General features: G+C 47.2%; 1 protein-coding gene across 60 annotated transcripts in view, besides 4 other annotated features; it reads left to right on the plus strand.

Moving 5' to 3' along the window:
* Positions 7,727–7,776: an enhancer, noted in NCBI's record as "active region_15732". NCBI's record gives its function as "activates an Ori minimal core promoter by ATAC-STARR-seq in GM12878 lymphoblastoid cells {active_cell/tissue: GM12878}" and the evidence as "EXISTENCE:reporter gene assay evidence [ECO:0000049][PMID:35858748]".
* Positions 7,781–8,491: an enhancer, noted in NCBI's record as "OCT4-NANOG-H3K27ac hESC enhancer chr2:47630036-47630746 (GRCh37/hg19 assembly coordinates)". NCBI's record gives its function as "activates a minimal SCP1, AML or CMV promoter by ChIP-STARR-seq in naive H9 embryonic stem cells {active_cell/tissue: H9 hESC(naive)}" and the evidence as "EXISTENCE:reporter gene assay evidence [ECO:0000049][PMID:30033119]".
* Positions 7,951–18,078, plus strand: part of MSH2 (mutS homolog 2) — a 306,764-nt gene continuing 296,636 nt past the window's right edge. For 55 of the 60 annotated variants that reach the window (NR_176242.1, NR_176244.1, NR_176248.1 and 52 more), the window contains exons 1-4: positions 8,040–8,286; positions 13,285–13,439; positions 14,978–15,256; positions 17,298–17,444. Coding sequence is in view for 32 of the 60 variants with exons in the window: in NM_001406637.1 (NP_001393566.1) it covers positions 8,076–8,286; positions 13,285–13,439; positions 14,978–15,256; positions 17,298–17,444 (792 nt within the window). In the remaining 28 variants the exon portion in view is untranslated. Of the gene's footprint in view, positions 8,287–13,284; positions 13,440–14,977; positions 15,257–17,297; positions 17,445–17,633; positions 17,732–18,078 lie in introns of all 60 variants that reach the window. The other 5 variants (NM_001258281.1, NM_001406656.1, NR_176233.1 and 2 more) reach the window with 5 other exon arrangements.
* Positions 8,492–9,200: an enhancer, noted in NCBI's record as "H3K27ac hESC enhancer chr2:47630747-47631455 (GRCh37/hg19 assembly coordinates)". NCBI's record gives its function as "activates a minimal SCP1, AML or CMV promoter by ChIP-STARR-seq in naive H9 embryonic stem cells {active_cell/tissue: H9 hESC(naive)}" and the evidence as "EXISTENCE:reporter gene assay evidence [ECO:0000049][PMID:30033119]".
* Positions 8,567–8,626: an enhancer, noted in NCBI's record as "active region_15733". NCBI's record gives its function as "activates an Ori minimal core promoter by ATAC-STARR-seq in GM12878 lymphoblastoid cells {active_cell/tissue: GM12878}" and the evidence as "EXISTENCE:reporter gene assay evidence [ECO:0000049][PMID:35858748]".

Here is an 18,078-nt window from a genome sequence, read left to right on the forward strand (position 1 = left end):
TGGCTAACATGGTGAAACCCCATTTCTACTAAAAATACAAAAAATTAGCCGGATGTGGTGGCACCCTCCTGTAATCCCAGCTACTCGGGAGGCTGAGGCAGGAGAATAGCTTGAACCTGGGAGCTGGAGGTTGTAGTGGGCCAAGATTGCACCATTGCACTCCAGCTTGGGCAACAAGAGCGAAACTCTTGTCTAAAAAAAAAAAAAACCCACACACACACACAAGATTATTTAGGCCAAGTGGGGTTGCGTATGCCTGATGCCTGTAATCCCAGCACTTTGGGAGGCTGAGGCGGGCAGATCACCTGCGGTCAGGATTTCAAGACCAGCCTGGCCAACATGGCAAAACCCCATCTCTACTAAAAAAATATAAAAATAAGCCAGGCATGGTGGTGCGAGCCTGTAGTCCCAGCTACTTGGGAGGCTGAGGCAGGAGGATAGCTTGAACCTGGGAGGTGGAGGTTGCAGTGGACTGAGATTGAGCCACTGCACTCCAGCCTGGGTGACAGAGTGAGACTCCGTCTCAAAAACAAAACAAAACAAAACAAAAAAAAACCCAGCCATGTTGGGGTGATAATTTTACTGGATTCTATCAATCATGCTATGTCTTCCAGTTATATTTTTGCAAAATTCCTCTTAGTTATTTTCAGAAATTCAGATTACCATGTGGGAGTGGAAAGTATATAAAATATCTGTAAGACAACTGAGACATGAATAATACAGGGTTGTTGTGGGAGAATAGAAAACTCCAGGCAGGAGGCCGGGCATGGTAGCTCACACCTGTAATCCTGGCTCTTTGGAAGCTGAGGCAGGCAGATCACCTGAGGTCAGGAGTTCGAGATCAGCCTGGCCAACAGGGTGAAACCCTGTCTCTACTGAAAATACAAAGATTAGTCGGGCGCGGTGGTGCACACCTATAATCCCAGCTACTAGGGAGGCTGAGGCAGGAGAATTGCTTGAAACCGGGAGGCGTAGGTTGCAGTGAGCTGAGATTGCACCCCTGTACTCCAGCCTGGGCAACAGGGCAAGACTCTGTCTCAAAAACAAAAAAGAAAAAAGAAAATTCCAGACAGGCATTTCATATGACTAGTAAAAAGGAAACTGTTGAAATAGCTGCATAAGCTAGAGGCTGATTAGACCCTGAGAACCAGGATGTGGGCCAAGCTGGCCAGGTCCCACTGGATGTAACATGGCACTGGATTTGACCTAGGTTTCACCTGGAACCTCATTGTTTGCTCATTAACATATTCAGTCACACCCCCTCGGCACCATGACAGTTCCGAGAACACCTGTATTTGGTGTAAAAATGGGTGGCACCACAGTTCAAGAAATCTTCACCTTTTTCCAGAAATCTTCATGAATATTCCACTCCCTGGTAAAAAAAAAACAAAAAACAAAAAACAAAACCCATAAATAAAGAGGCCAGATGCAGTGGTTCATGTCTATAATCCCAGTACTTTGGGAGGCCAAGGTGGGTGGATCGCTTGATCCCTGGCGGTCGAGGCTGCATTGAGCCGTGATCGCTCCACTGCAATCCAGCCTAGGCAACAGAAAGAGACCCTGTCTCAAAACAAACAAACAAAACAGAAAAACAAAAACCCATAAGGATAGAAACCTCAAACCCCATAGCATGACATTCTTGAGTATGCTCACACTCCCCTTTCTTGAGTGCGTACTTCTCGATTTGCAATAAATCTCTGTACTTTCACTATTTTCCAATTCGTCCCTGAATTCCTTCTCATTTGGTGTCAAGAGCCTGGACACTGGCTGGGGTCAAAGTCCCACTGGAATCGTGGGACCTCCCCTAGTCCCCCGGTATCACAACTGTTTGATATACTTTTTTTTTTTTTAATATTTATTTATTGGCCAGGCACAGTGGCTCATGCCTGTAATCCCAGCTCCCTGGGAGGCCGAGGCGGGTGGATCACCTGAGGTCAGGAATTTGATACCAGCCTGGCCAACATGGTGAAACCCCGTCTCTACTGAAAATACAAAAATTAGCCAGGTGTGGTGGCGGGCGCCTGTACTCCCAGCTACTCGGGAGGCTGAGGCTGGAGAATCGCTTGAACCCAGGAGGTGGAGATTGCAGTGACTGGAGATCACGCCATTCCACTCCAGCCTGAGTGATAGGAGCGAAACTCTGTCTCGAGAAAAAAAAGCCGGCGTGGTGGTGCATGCCTCTAATCCCAGGTACTCGGGAGGCTGAGGCAGGAGAATTGCTTGAACCCCAGGGGCAGAGGTTGCAGTGAGCCGAGATCACGCCATTGCACTCCAGCCTGGACAACAACAGCAAAACTCTGTCTCAAAAAAAATAAAAAAGAAAAAATTATTTATTTATTTATTTTTGAGATGGAGTCTCACTCTGTTCTCAGCTCACTGCAACCTCTGCCTCCTGGGTTCAAGTGATTCTCCTGCCTCAGCCTCCCAAGTAGTTGGGATTACAGGCATGCATCACCACACCAACTAATTTTTTTTTTGAGACCAAATCTCACTCTGTTGTCCAGGCTGGAGTGCAGTGGAGCAATCTTGGCTCACTGCAACCTCTGCCACCTGGGTTTAAAGCGATTCTCCTGCCTCAGCCTCCCCAGTAGATGGGATTACAGGCGCCTGCCACTGCATCTGGCTAATTTTTGTATTTTTAGTAGAGATAGGGTTTCACCATCTTGGCCAGACTGGTCTTGAACTCCTAACCTCGTGATCCACCCACCTCGGCCTCCCAAAGTGCTGGGATTACAGGCCTGAGCCACCGCACCCAGCCTAATTTTTGTAATTTCCTTAGAAATGAGGTTTCACCATGTTGGCCAGGCTGGTCTTGAACTCATGACCTCAAATGATCCACCTGCCTTGGCCTCCTAAAGTGCTTGGATTACAGGGGTGAGCCACTGTGCCCGGCCCTGGCCTGATCTACTTTGAATAAGAATTTATCAGCCAGGCTCAGTGGCTCACTCCTGTAATCCCACTTTGGAAGGGCCTGGGCAGGTGGATTGCTTGAGCCCAGGAGTTCCAGACCAGTCTTAACATGGTGAAACCCTGTCTCTTCTAAAAATATAAAAATTAGTGGGGCGTGGTGGCCTGCACCTGTAGATGCAATTACTTGGGAGGCTGAGGTAAAAGAGTCACCTGAGCCTGGGGAAGTGGAGGCTTCAGTGAGCTCTGATCATACCACTGCAATCCAGCCTGGGCGACAGTTAGACCCTGTCTCAAAAAAAAAAAAAAAAAAATTAAAAAAAGAATTTATCATGAACAGTTAATACACGCACATGGTTGGAAACAAAGGATACTGTTAAAACAGTTTCAGCTGGGCGCAGTGGCTCACACCTGTAATCCCAGCACTTTGGGAGGCCGAGTTGGGTGGATCATGAGGTCAGGAGATCGAGACCATCCTGGCTAACACGGTGAAACCCCGTCTCTACTAAAAATACAGAAAAATTAGCCGGGAGTGGTGGCAGGCGCCTGGGAAGGCTGAGGCAGTAGAATGGAGTGAACCCAGGAGGCGGAGCTTGCAGTGAGCCGAGATCACACCACTGGAGTCCAGCCTGGGCGACCGAGCGAGACTCCGTCTCAAAAAACAAACAAACAAACAAACAAAAAAAGTTTCTTAGACAAATTGATTACAATTGCATATCAAATTTTAATTTCAAGCTTATTTCCTTTCCAAGCAGGCTAAATATTCCTCTTAGACATTTTGTAAAAAAGAAGCATATTAGAATCATCAGTATTAGCCTGGAGAAAGCAAACAATGTCTGGAATTATTAGCTATCTTCTAAGTCTAGTTAAAGGTAACTGTCTTGTGCCAAGACTGACAGTGAGCTAAATGAACTGTTTTTTTTTGAGACAGGATCTTGCTCTGCTGCCCAGGCTGGAGTGCAGTGGTGCTATCATAGCTCAATGCAGCCTTAAACACCTGGACTTAAGGAATTTTTCCACCTCGGCCTCCCAAGGATTACAGGTACATGCCTGGCTGGTTTTTTAAACTTTTTTTTTTTTTTTTGAGACAGAATCTTGCTCTGTTGCCCCCACTGGAGTGAAGTAGTGTGATCTTGGCTCACTGCAACCCCCACCTCCCGGGCTGAAGCTATCCTCCTGCCTCAGCCTCCCAAGCAAATAGAACTACAGGCATGTGCCACCAAGCCTGACTAATTTTTGCATTTTTAGTAGAGACAAGGTTTCACCATGTTGCTCAGGCTGGTCTTGAACTCCTGAGCTTAAGCGATCCTCCCACCTCAGCCTACCAAAGTGCTGGTATTACAGGCATGAGTCGCTGTGCCTGCCTTACAGTTTTTTGTAGAGATGAGATCTTGCTATGTTGCCAGGCTGGTCTCCAACTCCTGGGCTCAAGTGCTCCTCTGGCTTCAAGTCTTCTAAAATGTTGGGACTACAGGCATGAGGTACCATGCCTGGCCAGCTCATTAAAGTGTATCAGAAATGGTAGTAGCTTCTCTAAAGGGATAGCACATGACATCAGACTATAATACTCAGGTTTGAGGCTGGGTGTGGTGGCTCACACCTGTAATCCCAGCACTTTGGGAGGCCGAGGTGGGCGGATCACTTGAGATCAGGAGTTCCAGACCAGCCTGGCCAACGTTGTAAAACTCATCTCCACAAAAATTACAAAAATTAGCCAGGTGTGATGGTGTGCACTTGTAGTCCCAGCTATTTGGGAGGCTGAGGCAGGAGAATCACTTGAAACCAGGGCGGGTGGAGGTTGCAGTCAGCCGAGATTGTGCCACTGTACTCCAGCCTGGGAGACAGAGCGAGACTCTGAAAAAAATAAAAATATAAATATAAAATAAATAAAACTCAGGTCAGAAACACATCTTCTTTCTCAGTATACAGTCTTGCTGCAGATTCTGTAAGCACACAGACGGTTAAGCATACAGAATCTGGAAGAAGACTGGATTCTAGATCTATCACTTACTAGCTCTGTGATCTGGCGCAAGGCCAGGCAATTGAATTTTAATCTGTAGGCCCGAGATTTCTTTCTTTTTTTTTTTCTATGGAGACGGAGTCTCGCTCTGTCGCCCAGGCTGGAGTGTAATGGCGTGGTCTCGGCTCACTGCAACCTCTGCCTCCCGGATTCAAGCGATTCTCCTGTCTCAGCCTCCTGAGTAGCTGGGATTACAGGTGCCTGCCACCATGCCAGGGTAATTTTTGTATTTTTAGTAGAGACGGGGTTTCACCATGTTGGCCAGGCTGATCTTGACCCGCTGACCTCGGCCTCCCAAAGTGCTGGGATTACAGGCGTGAGCCACTGTGCCCACCAGAGATTTCTAAATTGAGCTGATTGTCAGGAACATCCAGGGAGCTTTCAAAAATGATTCCAGGCTGAGGCTGGGCGGGGTGGCTCATGCCTGTAATCTCAGCACTTGGGGAGGCCGAGGTGGGTGGATCACCGGAGGTTGGGAGTTTGAGACCAGCCTGACCAACTTGGAGAGACCCTATCTCTACTAAAAATACAAAAATTAGCTGGGCGTGGTGGCGCATGCCTGTAATCCCAGCTACTCAGAAGGCTGAGGCAGGAGAATTGCTTGAACCCAGGAAGTGGAGGTTGCAGTGAGCTGAGATTGTGCCATTGCACTCCAGCCTGGGCAACAAGAGCGAAACTCCATCTCAAAAAACAAACAAACAAACAAACAAAAAACAAAACCAAAAAAAAAAAAAATGATTCCAAGCTGGGCATGGTGGCTCACACCTGTAATCCCAGCACTTTGGGAGGCCGAGGCGGGCAGAACAGGAGGTCAAGAGATCGAGACCAGACCATCCTGGCCAACACAGTGAAACCCCGTCTCTCCTAAAAATACCAAAATTAGCTGGGGGTGGTGGTGCACACCTGTAGTCATAGCTACTTGGGAAGCTGAGGCAGGAGGATCGCCTGAACCCGGGAGGCAGTGAGCCGAGATTGCGCCACTGCACTCCAGTGTGGTGACAGAGCCAGACTTCCTCTCAAAAAAACAAACAAAGGTTCCAAGGCTCTACTCCAGAAATTAAGACCCATTATGTGTGGGCTGGGCACAGGAATATGTTTAAATCCCCCCCCACCTCCCCAGGGTGATTCTGCTGCTGAATTAGGTTTTGGAACCACTTCCATGGGGAAAGGGTAAACTAAACTGGAGAATGCAAAAACCTTTTTTTTTTTTTTTTTTTTTTTTGAGACAGAGTCTCACCCTGTTGCCCAGGCTGGAGTGCAATGGCGCGACCTCGGCTCACTGCAACCTCCACCTCCCAGGTTCAAGGGATTCTCCTGCCTCAGCCTCCCAAGTAGCTGGGATTACAGGTGCCCACCACTACACCCGGCTAATTTTGTGTGTGTTTTTAGTAGAGACGGAGGTTCACCATGTTAGTCAGGCTGGTCTCGAACTCCTGACCTCAGGTGATCTGCCCGCCTCGGCCTCCCAAAGTGCTGGGATTACAGGCGTGAGCCACCGCGCCCGGCCAGCAAAAACCTTTTCTAAGAGTTAATTTTGCAGGATGGATCCTGAGCTCCTTCAGGTGTTTGATAACATTTTATTTATTTTTTGAGACAGAGTCTCGCTCTGTCACCGAGGCTGGAGTGTAGTGGCGCGATCTTCGCTCACTGCCCCCTCCACCTCCCAGGTTCAAGAGATTCTCCTGCCTCAGCCTCTCGAGTAGCTGTGATTACAGGCGCCCACCACTATGCCCGGTAATTTTTGTATTTTTAGTAGAGACGGGGTTTCGCCATGTTGGCCAGGCTGGTCTCAAACTCCGGACCTCAGGTGATCCACCCGCGTTGGCCTCCCAATACGCTGGGATTACAGGCGTGAGCCACTGCGCCTGGCTGTTTGCTAACATTTTAAAATTTCAACCTTCCTCTTCCTTAACTGGTCTTCCCCTACCCCCCCTCAAGACGGGGTCTCTCGCTCTGTCGCCCCAGCTGCGGTGCAGTGGCGTGAACATAGCTGACGGCAGAAGACCTCCTGGGCTCAAACGATCCTCCTGGCTCGTGCTCCCAAAGTACTGGGATTATGGCGTGTGACACCACGCCTGGCGTCAAACGTTTGTCTTTTTATTTATTTTATTTTGTATTTTTTGAGACAGGGTTTTCAATCTGTCGCCCACGCTGGAGTGCAGTGGCACAATTTACGGCTCACCGCAGCCTCGACCTCCCGGGCTCAGGTGATCCTTTCGCCTCAGCCCTGCTAATATCTGGGATCACAGACGTGGGTTTTACCATGTTGCCCAGGATGGTGTCAATCTCCTGGGCTCAAGTGATCCGCCCACCTCGGCCTCCCAAATTGCTGGGATTACAGGCGTGAGCTACCGCGCCCTGCCACAAACGCATATCTTCTAACGTACCATTTCATTTACTTGCTATATTCATTATCTGAATTTTCTCATATTAGAATGTAAGCAGAATAAAGGCAGTGATTTTTCTTTTTACTGGCGATCCTCAGAGCCAAGAAGAGTCTGGGACATAGCAGGCCATATAAATGTTTTCGAATGAGTGAATCATCAACGAGTGGATGAAACGATAATGTGGCTAACAGGCAGCAGTAAGGAGGCTGTGTAGAATAAACCCGTAATCCCGATGTTGGCAGTTTGCTTAGAAAGAAAAAGGGAGGCAGTCGGAGAGGGGCACACGTTTTAACAAAATACTGGGAGGAGGAGGAAGGCTAGTTTTTTTTTTGTTTTCAAGTTTCCTTCTGATGTTACTCCCATGCTTCCGGGCACATTACGAGCTCAGTGCCTGCCGGAAATCTCCCACCTGGTGGCAACCTACCCTTGCATACACCCCACCCAGGGGCTTCAAGCCTTGCAGCTGAGTAAACACAGAAAGGAGCTCTACTAAGGATGCGCGTCTGCGGGTTTCCGCGCGACCTAGGCGCAGGCATGCGCAGTAGCTAAAGTCACCAGCGTGCGCGGGAAGCTGGGCCGCGTCTGCTTATGATTGGTTGCCGCGGCAGACTCCCACCCACCGAAACGCAGCCCTGGAAGCTGATTGGGTGTGGTCGCCGTGGCCGGACGCCGCTCGGGGGACGTGGGAGGGGAGGCGGGAAACAGCTTAGTGGGTGTGGGGTCGCGCATTTTCTTCAACCAGGAGGTGAGGAGGTTTCGACATGGCGGTGCAGCCGAAGGAGACGCTGCAGTTGGAGAGCGCGGCCGAGGTCGGCTTCGTGCGCTTCTTTCAGGGCATGCCGGAGAAGCCGACCACCACAGTGCGCCTTTTCGACCGGGGCGACTTCTATACGGCGCACGGCGAGGACGCGCTGCTGGCCGCCCGGGAGGTGTTCAAGACCCAGGGGGTGATCAAGTACATGGGGCCGGCAGGTGAGGGCCGGGACGGCGCGTGCTGGGGAGGGACCCGGGGCCTTGTGGCGCGGCTCCTTTCCCGCCTCAGAGAGTGGGCGGTGAGCAGCCTCTCCAGTGCGGAGGCACGGGGGCGGAACGTTGGTGCTTGTGCGGATTCCGCCGTCCCCAGGTTCTGCTTGGCTCCGGAGGGACGCCCCCCTCAGCCCTGAAACCCGTGCCTCTCCAGCCGCCCCGGATCTGAACTTGTGATCACGGAGTGTTTACGTCGTGCCAGGCATTTTAATGCATTGTTCTAGTTCATTTTCCAGCAGTCGCATTCCTCGCCTTGGCCCTACATGTAGCGCTCATTACAAACACGGCCAGAATCTCTTATTAACAAACAGCAGCCAGGAGTGAGATTTAAAATAGACTGGGGGTTTAGGAGACCCTTTTATGACACGTAATTCTGCTCCCACGACGCTCCCATTTATACCGCCGGTCCAGCTAAGGGTCTGGTAATGGAGCGCCGTTGAAGAGCAGTATGATGAAGTGGTCAGGACCAACGGACTCTGGAGCTGGGCTGCTTGGGATCAAGTCGCTGCCCCTCTGCTTATTAACGTGTGACCTTGGGCCAGTCATGGACGCTATCTGCTTCAGCTCAGCATTCAGTGCTCTCCGTCACCCGACCCCATCTATCCAGGATTATCTCTCCCTGGAAAGCTACAAACGTCTCACCCTATGTGGGCCAAATGTTCTGGATAGGCCTAGTTAACCTCTTCTCTCCCTGTTTTCTTTGCGCTTTCTTGCAGCTATGTAGTTATGCTAATGAAAAGAGCATCCTAGGGGGAGCAGAGTTGTGGATTCTAGTCCTGACTAGAGGACTAGTGCAAATGCGATACTCCTGATGAAAAATGTTTCATTCGTTAGATATAAATGTGTTAGGCAGGGTTATGGACACTAGATGAAAAAAGAAATACCTCTACTTTCATAGAGATCACTATTGGACAGCAAGGCAGAAATAATTACAATTCAAGTTGGAGGCTTATGGAGGTGAGCTTGTAAGAGGTTACAAGAGGCGCCAAGGCAGGATCGCCAAAGACGGAAGACTTTGGAAGAGTCTCATACAACGGAAGAGGCGTTATATGAGACACCAAAGTCCACGTTGAGTCTTGGTGGACTAGAAGTTTGCTAGGGAGAGGGCTTGAAACGAGGTAGATTGGCGTTGCTGGTGTAGAAAAGGAAGGAGACTGGCCCAGGTGGGTGGGGTTAGATGACCAAAGGCTTTTAGTGTGGTGTTGAGCTGTTGAAATTTTATGCTGTAGCCAATGAAAAGTCTGAAATGTTTTTTTTTTTTTTTTTTCTGAGACGGAGTCTTACTGTGTCGCCCAGGTTGGAGTTCAGTGGTGTAATCCTGGCTCACTGCAACCTCCACCTCCTGGGTTCAAGCGATTCTCCTGCCTCAGCCACCGGAGTAGCTGGGATTACAGGCACGTGCCACCACGCCTAGCTAATTTTTGTATTTTTAGTAGAGATGGGGTTTCACCATGTTGGCCAGGCTGGTCTCAAACTCCTGACCTCAAGTGATCCACCCACCTTGGCCTCCCGATGTGCTGGGATTACAGGTATTAGCCACTGCACCTGACCTACATAGATTTTACATAAGACTTTAAAACAGGGCGGGCGCAGTGACTCACGCTTGTAATCCCAGCACTTTGGGAGGCTGAGGTGGGCGGATCACAAGGTCAGGAGATCAAGACCATCCTGGCTAACATGGTGAAACCCTGTCTACACTAAAAATACAAAAATCCCAGCACTTTGGGAGGCTGAGGTGGGCGGATCACGAGGTCAGGAGATCCAGACCATCCTGGTTAACACTGTGAAACCCTGTCTCTACTAAAAATACAAAAAATTAGCTGGGTGCGGTGGCAGGTGTCTGTAGTCCCAGCTACTTGGGAGGCTGAGGCAGGAGAATGGTGTGAACCCGGAAGGCAGAGCTTGCAGTGAGCCGAGATTGTGCCACTGCACTCCAGCCTGGGCAACAGAGCGAGACTCCATCTCAAAAAAAAAAAAAAAAAAAAAAAAGACTTTAAAAAAAATTATAAGAAAGGACAGACCAAGTGCAGTGGTTCGTTCCAGCACTTAGGGATGCCAAGGTGGGAGGATTGCTTGATGCTAGGAGTTGAAGACTAGCCTGTGTAACATAGCGAGACCCATCTCTACAAAAAAATTAAAAAGTTACCTTTAGAACTTACGATTTTTATGTGTAGACTCCATATAAGCAGAGGGTCTATGCTTATTCACTATTTATTACCTTCCATAGTCCCTGCACATATAATAGGTGCTTCATAAACAATTTAATGAATGAATAAATTACTGAGAAAACACTGGAAGTTTTTGGGTTAGCATTGTGTTAGGTGCTTGATATGGTCTGGCTGTGTTCCCACCCTTATCTCATCTTGAATTCCCATGTTTTGTGGGAGGTACCTGGTGGGACATAATTGAATCATGTGGGCAGGTTTTTCCTGTGCTGTTCTCCTGGTAGTGAATAAGCCTCACAAGATCTGATGGTTTTAAAAATGGGAGTTTCCCTGCACAGGCTCTCTCTCTTTGCCTGCCGCCATCCATGTAAGATGTAACTTGCTCCTCCTTGCCTTCCTCAATGATTGTGAGGCCTCCTCAGCCATGTGGAACTGGCTGCAGAGTCATTAAACTTCGTTCTTTTGTAAATTGCCCAGTCTCAGGTATGTCTTTTTTTATTTTTTTTTGAGACAGAGTCTGGCTCTGTGGCTAGGCTGGAGTGCAGTGGTGCGATCTCGACTCACTGCAGCCTCCGCCTCCCGGGTTCAAGCGATTCTCCTGCCTCAGCCTCCCAAGTAGCTGGGACTATAGGTGCACGCCACCATGCCCAGCTAATTTTTGTATTTTTAATAGAGACGGAGTTTCACTGTGTTGGCCAGGATGGTCTTGATCTCTTGACCTCGTGATCTTCCCGCCTCCGCCTTCCAAAGAGCTGGGATTACCTACCCAGCTGGGTATGTCTTTATTAGCAGCGTGAAAACAGACTAAAACAGTAAACTGATACCAATAGAGTGGGATGCAGCTGAAAAGATACCCGAAAATATGGAAGCAACTTTGGAGCTGGGTAACAGGCAGAGGTCAGAGCAGTTTAGAGGGCTCAGAAGAAGACCAGAAAATGTGGGAAAGTTTGGAACTTCCTAGAGACTTGTTCAATGGCTTTGACCAAAATCCTGATAATGATATGGACAATGAAATCCAGGCTCATGTGGTCTCAGATGGAGATGAGGAACTTGTTGGGAACTGGAGCAAAGGTGACACTTGTTATGTTTTAGTAAAGAGACTGGTGGCATTTTGCCCTGCCCTAGAGATTTGTGGAGCTTTGAACTTGAGAGAAATGATTTTGGGTATCTGGTGGGAGAAATTTCTAAGCAGCAAAGCATTCAAGAGGTGACTTGGGTGCTGTTAAAGGCATTCAGTTTTAAAAGGGAAACAGCATGAAAGTTTGGAAAATTTGCAGCCTGACAATGTGATAGAAAAGAAAATCCCGTTTTCTGAGGAGAAATTCAAGCTAGCTACAGAAATTTGCATAAGTAATGAGGATCCCAATGTTAATCCCCAAGACAATGGGAAAAATGTTTCCAGGGCATGTCAGAGGCCTTCATGGCAGCCCCTCTCATCACAAGCCTAGAGGCCTAGGAGAAAAAAGTGATTTCATGGGCCAGCCCGGGGTCCCCATGCTGTGTGCAGCCTAGTGACTTGGTGCCCTGCATCCCAGCTGCCCCAGCTGTGGCTGAAAGGGGCCAACCTAGAGCTCAGGCCATGGCTTCAGAGGGTGCAAGCCTGAAACCTTGACAGCTTCCAGGTGGTGTTGAGCCTGCAGGTGCACAGAAATCAATAATTGAGGTTTGAGAATCTCTGCCTAGGTTTCAAAGATGTATGGAAACGCCTGCATGTCCAGGCAGAAGTTTGCTGCAGGGGTGGGGTGCTCATTGAGTTCCTCTGCTAGGGCAATGTAGAAGGGAAATGTAGGGTCAGAGCCCCCCCACAGAGTCCCTACTGGGGCACCACCTAGTGGAGCTGTGAAAAGAGGGCTACCATTCTCCAGACCTCAGAATGGTAGATCCACAGACAGCTTGCACCATGTGCCTGGAAAAGCTGTAGACACTTAACGCCATCTCATGAAAGCAACCAGGCAGTGTGCTGTACCCTGCAAAGCCACAGGGGCAGAGCTGTCCAAGGCTGTGGTTGCCCAGCTCTTGCATCCGCATGACCTGGACATGAGACATAGAGTCAAAGGAGATCATTTTGGAGCTTTAAGATTTGACTGCCATGCTGGATTTTGGACTTGCATGGGGCCTGTAGCCCCTTTGTTTTGGCCAATTTCTCCCATTTGGAATGGCTGTATTTACCCAATTCCTATACCCCATTGTATCTGGGAAGTAACTAACTTGCTTTTGATTTGACAGGCTCATATGCGGAAAGGACTTACCTTGTCTTGAATGAGACTTTGGACTGGAATTTTGAATTAATGCTGAAATGAGTTAAGGCTTTGGGGGACTGTTGGGAATGCATGATTGGTTTTGAAATGTGAGGACATGAGATTTGGGAGGGGTCATGGCAGAATGATATGGTTTGGCTATGTCCCCACCTAAATCCCATCTTGAATTCCCATGTATTGTGGGAGGGACCTGGTGGGAGATAGTTGAATCATGGGGATGGATCTTTCCCATGCTGTTGTGATAGTGAATAAGCCTCATGAGATCTGATGGTTTTAAAAACGGAAGTCTACCTGCACAAGCTCTTTCTTTGCCTGCTGCCATCCATGTAAGACATGACTTGTTCCTCCTTGCCTTCTGCCATGATTGTGAGACCTCCCCAGCCATGTGGAACTATAAGTCCAGTAAGCCTCTTTTTCTTCCCAGTCTCGGGTATGTCTTTATCAGCAGCATGAAGTCCAGCTAATACAGTGCTTGAACATGTAATATCTCAAATCTGTAATGTACTTTTTTTTTTTTTAAGGAGCAAAGAATCTGCAGAGTGTTGTGCTTAGTAAAATGAATTTTGAATCTTTTGTAAAAGATCTTCTTCTGGTTCGTCAGTATAGAGTTGAAGTTTATAAGAATAGAGCTGGAAATAAGGCATCCAAGGAGAATGATTGGTATTTGGCATATAAGGTAATTATCTTCCTTTTTAATTTACTTATTTTTTTAAGAGTAGAAAAATAAAAATGTGAAGAATTTAATTGTGTTTTAGTATTTTAAGTAGATTGTGATAGTAGAATGGTTTGAGACACTTTAATAGCAATTAGCATGTGGTTTTTAAAAAGTTGCAGTTTGGCTGGTCGCAGTGGCTCATGCTTGTAATCCCAGTATTTTGGGAGGCTGAGGCAGGTAGGTTGCCTGAGCCCAGGAGTTCAAGACCAGCCTGCCCAACGTGGTAAAGCCCCATCTCTACTGAAGATAAAAAAATTTAAAAAAATTAGCTGGGGCTATTGGCACACACCTGTGGTCCCAGCTAATCAAGAGGATGAGGTTAGAGGATCACTTGAGCCCAGGAGGTTGAGGTTACAGTTTAACTTTCAGAGGCCAAGGCAGGAGGATTGCTTGAGTCCAGGAGTTTGAGACCACCCTGGGGAATGTAGGGAGATCCCATCTCTATAGAGGGATAGATTAGATAGATAATTTCTGAGGGGAGGGGAGGGGGAGGGCCAGGGAAGGGGAGGGAAAGGGGAGGGGAGGGCAGGGCCAGCAGTAAGGTCATAATAGAGACATGTATCTGTAAGATCCTTATAATAGGTGAGGATGGCCACAAATTAGCGCCACAGATTTGTATTTTTAGTAGAGACAAGGTTTTACCATGTTGGCCAGGCTGGTCTTGAACTCCTGACCTCAAGTGATCCGCCTGCCTTGGCCTCCCAAAGTGCTGAGATTACAGATGTGAGCCACCATGCCCAACCACAAGCATTTATTTATTTATTTATTTATTTATTTATTTATTTATTTAGAGACAGTCTTGCTCTGTCGCCAGGCTGGAGTGCAGTGGCGCCATCTGGGCTCACTGCAAACTCTGACTCCCTGGTTCAAGCTTTTCTCCCGCCTCAGCCTCCCGAGTAGCTGGGATTACAGGTGCATGCTGCAACACCCGGCTAATTTTTGTATTTTTAGTAGAGATGGGGTTTCACCATGTTGGCCAGGACGGTCTCGATCTCCTGACCTCGTGATCCGCCTGCCTTGGCCTCCCAAAGTGTTGGGATTACAGGCGTGAGCCACAGCACTCAGCCAGTTATTTTTTTATAAGAAAACATTTTACTGGCCAGGCCTGGTGGCTCACACCTGTAATCCCAGCACTTTGGGAGGCCGAGGCAGGCGGATCACGAGGTCAGGAGTTCGAGACCAGCCTGGCCAACATGGTGAAACCCCATCTCTACTAAAAATACAAAAATTAGCCAGGCGTGGTGGTGTGCGCCTGTATTCCCAGCTACTGGGGAGGCTGAAGCAGGAGAATCGATTGAACCCTTGAGGCAGAGGTTGCAGTGAGTTGAGATCGCACCATTGCACTCTAGCCTGGGTGACAGAGCAAGACTTCATCTCAAAAAAAAGAGAAAACATTTTATTAATAAGGTTCATAGAGTTTGGATTTTTCCTTTTTGCTTATAAAATTTTAAAGTATGTTCAAGAGTTTGTTAAATTTTTAAAATTTTATTTTTACTTAGGCTTCTCCTGGCAATCTCTCTCAGTTTGAAGACATTCTCTTTGGTAACAATGATATGTCAGCTTCCATTGGTGTTGTGGGTGTTAAAATGTCCGCAGTTGATGGCCAGAGACAGGTTGGAGTTGGGTATGTGGATTCCATACAGAGGAAACTAGGACTGTGTGAATTCCCTGATAATGATCAGTTCTCCAATCTTGAGGCTCTCCTCATCCAGATTGGACCAAAGGAATGTGTTTTACCCGGAGGAGAGACTGCTGGAGACATGGGGAAACTGAGACAGGTAAGCAAATTGAGTCTAGTGATAGAGGAGATTCCAGGCCTAGGAAAGGCTCTTTAATTGACATGATACTGTTTCATTTAAGGAAAAATAATAAAAAAACTCTTTTTTTTGTATCTAATTAAAATAATGTTCTGATGTTTACAGAAACTTTGTATATTTAATTGGACATTAGAACAAGCTGTTTGTTGTGTAAGATTTATTTTACCTCAGATCTTTTCTCCCCCCTTTCCTTTCTGTCTTGTGTTCCAAAAGAGTAATTATTACGGTAAATATTACTGTAATTATGGATTTATCAAATAAGATGCAGTTCTTTAGCATTTTTTGATAAATCGAGTGGAACTTTAGCCTGTTATTTTACTATTTGTTTTATTTTAACTAAATTCTGATTGTGTCATTTTTTTTTTTTTTTTTTGGGACCGAGTCTCGCTCTGTCGCCCAGGCTGGAGTGCAGTGGTGCGATCTCGGCTCACTGCAACCTCTGCCTCCCAGGTTCAAGCAATTCTTCTGCCTCAGCCTCCTGAGTAGCTGGGATTACAGGTGTGTACCACCACACCCAGCTAATTTTTGTATTTTTAGTAGAGGTGAGGTTTCACCATCTTGGCCAGGCTGGTCTTGAACTCCTCACCTCGTGATCCACCCACCTGGGCCTCCCAAAGTGCTGGGATTACAGCCATGAGCCACCATGCTCGGCTTTGATTGTGTCATTTGTATAGGCATGTGGTTTATTATTTAGTTATTTTTTTTTTTTTCTTTGAGGTGGAGTATCACTCTTGGTGCCCAGGCTGGAGTGTAATGGCGTGATCTCAGCTCACTGCAACCTCTACCTCCTGGGTTCAAGCAATTCTCCTGCCCCAGCAGGAGTAGCTTGGGATTACAGGCATGCCCCACCACACCTGGCCAATTTTGTGTTTTTAGTAGAGACAGGGTTCCACCATGTTGGTCAGGCTGGTCTTGAACTCCTGACCTCAGGTGATCTGCCCACCTCAGCCTCCCAGAGTGCTGGGATTATAGGCATGAGCCACGGTGCCCAGCATATTTAGATTTTTTTTTTTTTGAGACTGAGTCTGACTCTGTCACCCAGGCTAGAGTGCAGTGGCACGATCCACGATCTTGGCTCACTGCAGCCTCCACCTTATGGGTTCAAGCGATTCTTCTGCCTCAGCCTCCCAAGTAGCTGGGACTGCAGGCACATGCCAACACGCCCGGCTTATTTTTGTATTTTTATAGAGACGGGGTTTCATCATATTGGTCAGGCTGGTCTCTAACTCCTGACCTTGTGATCCACCCGCCTTGGCCTCCCATAGTTCTGGGATTACAGGCATGAGCCACAGCGCCAGGCCTAGATGTTTCTTAAGGTATGTATCTCCCAAAGATTCTTTTTGTGGTCCTCAAGTACCATAAGCACCGCTGGAGATAACACATGTGATGGGCATTTTTAGCATAGATTGTATCTAAGCAACTTTCCACAAGTAATAGTTCTGTTAAGGGTTGTTATTGTGGCCGGGCGCGGTGGCTCACACCTGTAATCCTGGCACTTTGGGAAGCTGAGGCGGCCGGATCACCTGAGGTCAGGGATTCGAGACCAGCCTGTCCAATGTGCTGAAACCCTGTCTCTACTAAAAATGCAAAGAAAAAAAAAATCTAGCCAAGCATGGTGGCTTGCTCCTGTAATCCTAGCTACTTGGGAGGCTGAGGCAGGAGAATTGCTTGAACCTGGGAGGCAGAGGTAGCAGTGAGCCAAGATCGTGTCACCGCATTCCATCCTGGGCGACAGTGAGACTCTGTCTCAAAACAAAAAAAGAGTTGTTACCGTTGGGACTATTTTTTGAAAGCTTTATGTGAACGTAATTTTATATTTTGATGAAAATTTAGTTTATTGATGTAAAAAGTGTATCAGTACATCATATCAGTGTCTTGCACATTGTATAAACATTTAATGTAGGTGAATCTGTTATCACTATAGTTATCAATGTTATAATTTTCATTTTTGCTTTTCTTATTCCTTTTCTCATAGTAGTTTAAACTATTTCTTTCAAAATAGATAATTCAAAGAGGAGGAATTCTGATCACAGAAAGAAAAAAAGCTGACTTTTCCACAAAAGACATTTATCAGGACCTCAACCGGTTGTTGAAAGGCAAAAAGGGAGAGCAGATGAATAGTGCTGTATTGCCAGAAATGGAGAATCAGGTACATGGATTATAAATGTGAATTACAATATATATAATGTAAATATGTAATATATAATAAATAATATGTAAACTATAGTGACTTTTTAGAAGGATATTTCTGTCATATTTATCTCAAAACCTAAACTGTGTATCAATGATATTAAGCTTTTTTTTTTTTTTGAGACAGAGTTTCACTTTTGTTGCCCAGGCTGGAGTACAATGGCGCGATCTTGGCTCACCACATCCTCTGCCTCCCAGGTTCAAGTGATCCTCCTGCCTTGGCCTCCTGAGTAGCTGGGATTACAGGCATGTGCCACCACGCCTGGCTCATCTTTTTTGTATTTTTAGTAGAGATGGGGTTTCTCTATGTTGGTCAGGCTGGTCTCAAACTCCTGAACCTCAGGTGATCCGCCCGCCTCGGGCTTCCAAAGCGCTGAGATTGCAGGCATGAGCCACTGTGTCTGGCCTATTTTTATAGTTTATGTACTTGGAATTATATAATATATTCTGCCTAGCTTCTTTCATTCAATATTTGTAAGATTTATCCATATTATTGAGTGTAGTTGTGGATTTTTGCATTTATATTTCATAGCACGAGCATGTCAGAATTTATCCATTTTACTTCCCTTCTGCCCGCCACTGCTACTCTCCCC

The sequence above is a fragment of the Homo sapiens genome, chromosome 2, assembly GCF_000001405.40.
Source record: "Homo sapiens chromosome 2, GRCh38.p14 Primary Assembly".
Taxonomy (NCBI): Eukaryota; Metazoa; Chordata; class Mammalia; order Primates; family Hominidae; genus Homo; species Homo sapiens.